The 2708-nt window shown below is 39.5% G+C and overlaps 1 annotated feature.

Annotated features, from left to right (window-relative positions):
* Window positions 1242–1491: an enhancer, noted in NCBI's record as "active region_29907". NCBI's record gives its function as "activates an Ori minimal core promoter by ATAC-STARR-seq in GM12878 lymphoblastoid cells {active_cell/tissue: GM12878}" and the evidence as "EXISTENCE:reporter gene assay evidence [ECO:0000049][PMID:35858748]".

Raw genomic sequence — 2708 nt, forward strand, 5'->3', positions numbered from 1 at the left:
AGTGCTATCAAGAGGCTTACATTATGGGGTACATTTTTATTAATAGGAATAGTACCAGTGTTTCTCAAAATCTGGCCCTCCTTGAAAATCTGCCACAGAATTCACCCAGACAGGTACCTGCTTGGGCTGAAATCAGAGACCATATAGCAGCTGCCTGTTTAATAAGCTAAACACGAGATTCAGATACATGCTTAGATTTGAGGACTACTTAAGTTAACAAAAGATTAAGAGCCAAGAAATGGATTTTTGAATTTTAAAAAGGTGAAAAATGGCAGATAATAAAGCTATTAAAAGGAGTTTTGAAAAGCCTAGGAAACTTGAACTTTTGGATATTTTTCTTTTAATTTGGCAAGATAGGAATTTTTCAGTCAAAAAGAAAATTTTGTGGTAGAAGGACCTTCACATCTTGAAATAGTCTTTCTCCTTTTTTCCCCCCTCTCTCTAGAAATCTGACCTATTCCTAAAGGCTCATCTTCTCTTACATGTTCCATGACCACTCTAGTCAATGAAAATTACCTTGGTTTTTAGAGTTGCCTTCTCTTATATTTGACATTCAGCCCTAGGGCCTCTTTTATTTTTAACTTGCCTACAGTGGAGACTTCACCTTTTAATTAGGATTTACGAGCTTCATGCCTGTTGATATGGTCTCTCCAACTATCCATGTTTATCACCCAGTAGGAGCCAAATAAATGCTTGCAGTGTGCATGAGAGTATTTCAGAGGACATAATGCAACTTTGCTTGAGGAACATGAATACCGAAGCTGTGTTGAGGGAAAGTGAACTTAAAACACATGGTTATATTCACTAAAATAGTCAAATATTGAAAAAAGTAGTGTGCAGAGTTCTCTTTCTCCCCAATAGTTTTTAAAGAAATGTGGTGAACCAAAATTCTTTATTTTCATTTATGAGAAATAAACCCATTTCCATAACTCACCGTTCATTTCAACACTTTCTTTCAATTTCACCTATGACTCAGACTTGGTTTATTTCTGGCAGCACGTTGTCTTTTAACTGAGAAGTGAAAAGAACTCAGAACAATGACTTTCCAACTCCTCTAGTCCTTCTATAATAGTCCTTAAGTGCTGAGAGATAGTCGTTTGTGTGTTCGCAGATTACATCATCCATTATACTGGCCCTGTCTTGGGATCCTTTTCTTCCTTTTGGAATTTGATAACTGACTTTCTTTAATTTCATTTGTAGAAATGCATCTTACCCATTTATCCCTTCCCCCTCATTCTCCCTTTGAAGCCATAGTGTCCCTGATTTTAGTGTGGGGGACTAGGGGTGGGTGGGAATTGATGCCTGCCTGGGGGTTTTTAAGTACCAGAAGCAACATTATTTCTATATTTTTTGTTCTGCCACTGAAAATGCCTCAGCCCACACATAACTAGTTCTGGTTCTCTTCCTGTTCCTCCGCCTACAGCATCCTCCCGCTCCTCTTCAGATGTCTTCCCCCCTTCACAGCAGGCCACTTTCCTTCACAGTTCCAGAATGGTTTCATTCATCACTGTCACAGTCCCTGTCAATAGTAAACTCTGCCATCTTATCTATGGCCACCAGTAAATGAGTTTGCATTTAACATTTTAAAGAGTTTTCTTTGTTTCTGACATTCTCCACCCACTGATACTTGTACTTATGCGGCTTGCTGTCACCTTTTTTTTCCTGCCAGTTGGTTGGCAGGAACCAATCTCCCCCAGAAAATGCAAGAGGATTGTCCTGTCACTCAGAAAATCTTTCTAATCTTAATCTGACATTGGTTACAAGTGCTCACGTTCTTCTTTGGGTGAGAAAGACAGACTTAGGAAGAGGAACAATTTGAGAATTTGGCAGAGGTAGCTGAAAGTTGCAAATGATTAAATTGGACACTGGGAAATTTTGGATTTGACTTCCTGCCCTGGGCTGACCTGCTGTCAGTTCTGTGTAAATTACTTAGTCTATTTGTGTCCTTTTCTGTGCTATGGGGATGATGTTAATTTCTAAATTGGGATGGGAGGTAGGTAATGGATACCACAATTTGAACTATTAAAGTATCAACAATAATATTGTTTGTTGAAAGCTTGCTATGTGAAAAGGTGCTAGGTGATTTGTACCCACGATGTCTACTTCTCAAGACAACATTGAGCAACTTGGGGCCCAGAGTAATTCAGTGTCTTGCTCAAGATCACACAGCCCCAGCTTGTACGCAGTGGAACAAGAATTTGAACATAGATCTGTCTGGTTCCAGAGTTCGCACATGTATGATGACTTTGTTACATAAGACCAGAGTAGTACTGAGCACAATTGGGTGTTCTCAGTGATTTGTGTCTCGCCCTGCCTTGGTCTCCTTCAGGATATCAACTGATGTTGGGTTTGTGTGTGACTAATAGTGTCAGTGTTTGAATTTCAGTTCGGCCATTTGCCAGCTACATAACTTTGGGCAAGTTATTTAGTCACTCTGTGCCTATTATCCACATCTATAAAATGGGCTGATAAAGGATGATAAAAACATTTACCCCATAGATTTGTTGTGAGTCTTGACAAGTAAACACATATAAACAACTTTTGTTTAACATATTGTAACCCCTCAACGATCGTTATCTATCATCATTCTCAGCTGCAGCATTATTTCCCTACAGTGCTTCTCTGCAGACCTGTTCTGACTGGCTGTTCGACCATGCTCCAGATGGATTCTTCCTTTTATCCGTGTGTGTGTGTGTGTGTGTGTGTGT

This window comes from Homo sapiens, chromosome X, assembly GCF_000001405.40.
Source record: "Homo sapiens chromosome X, GRCh38.p14 Primary Assembly".
NCBI lineage: Eukaryota > Metazoa > Chordata > Mammalia > Primates > Hominidae > Homo > Homo sapiens.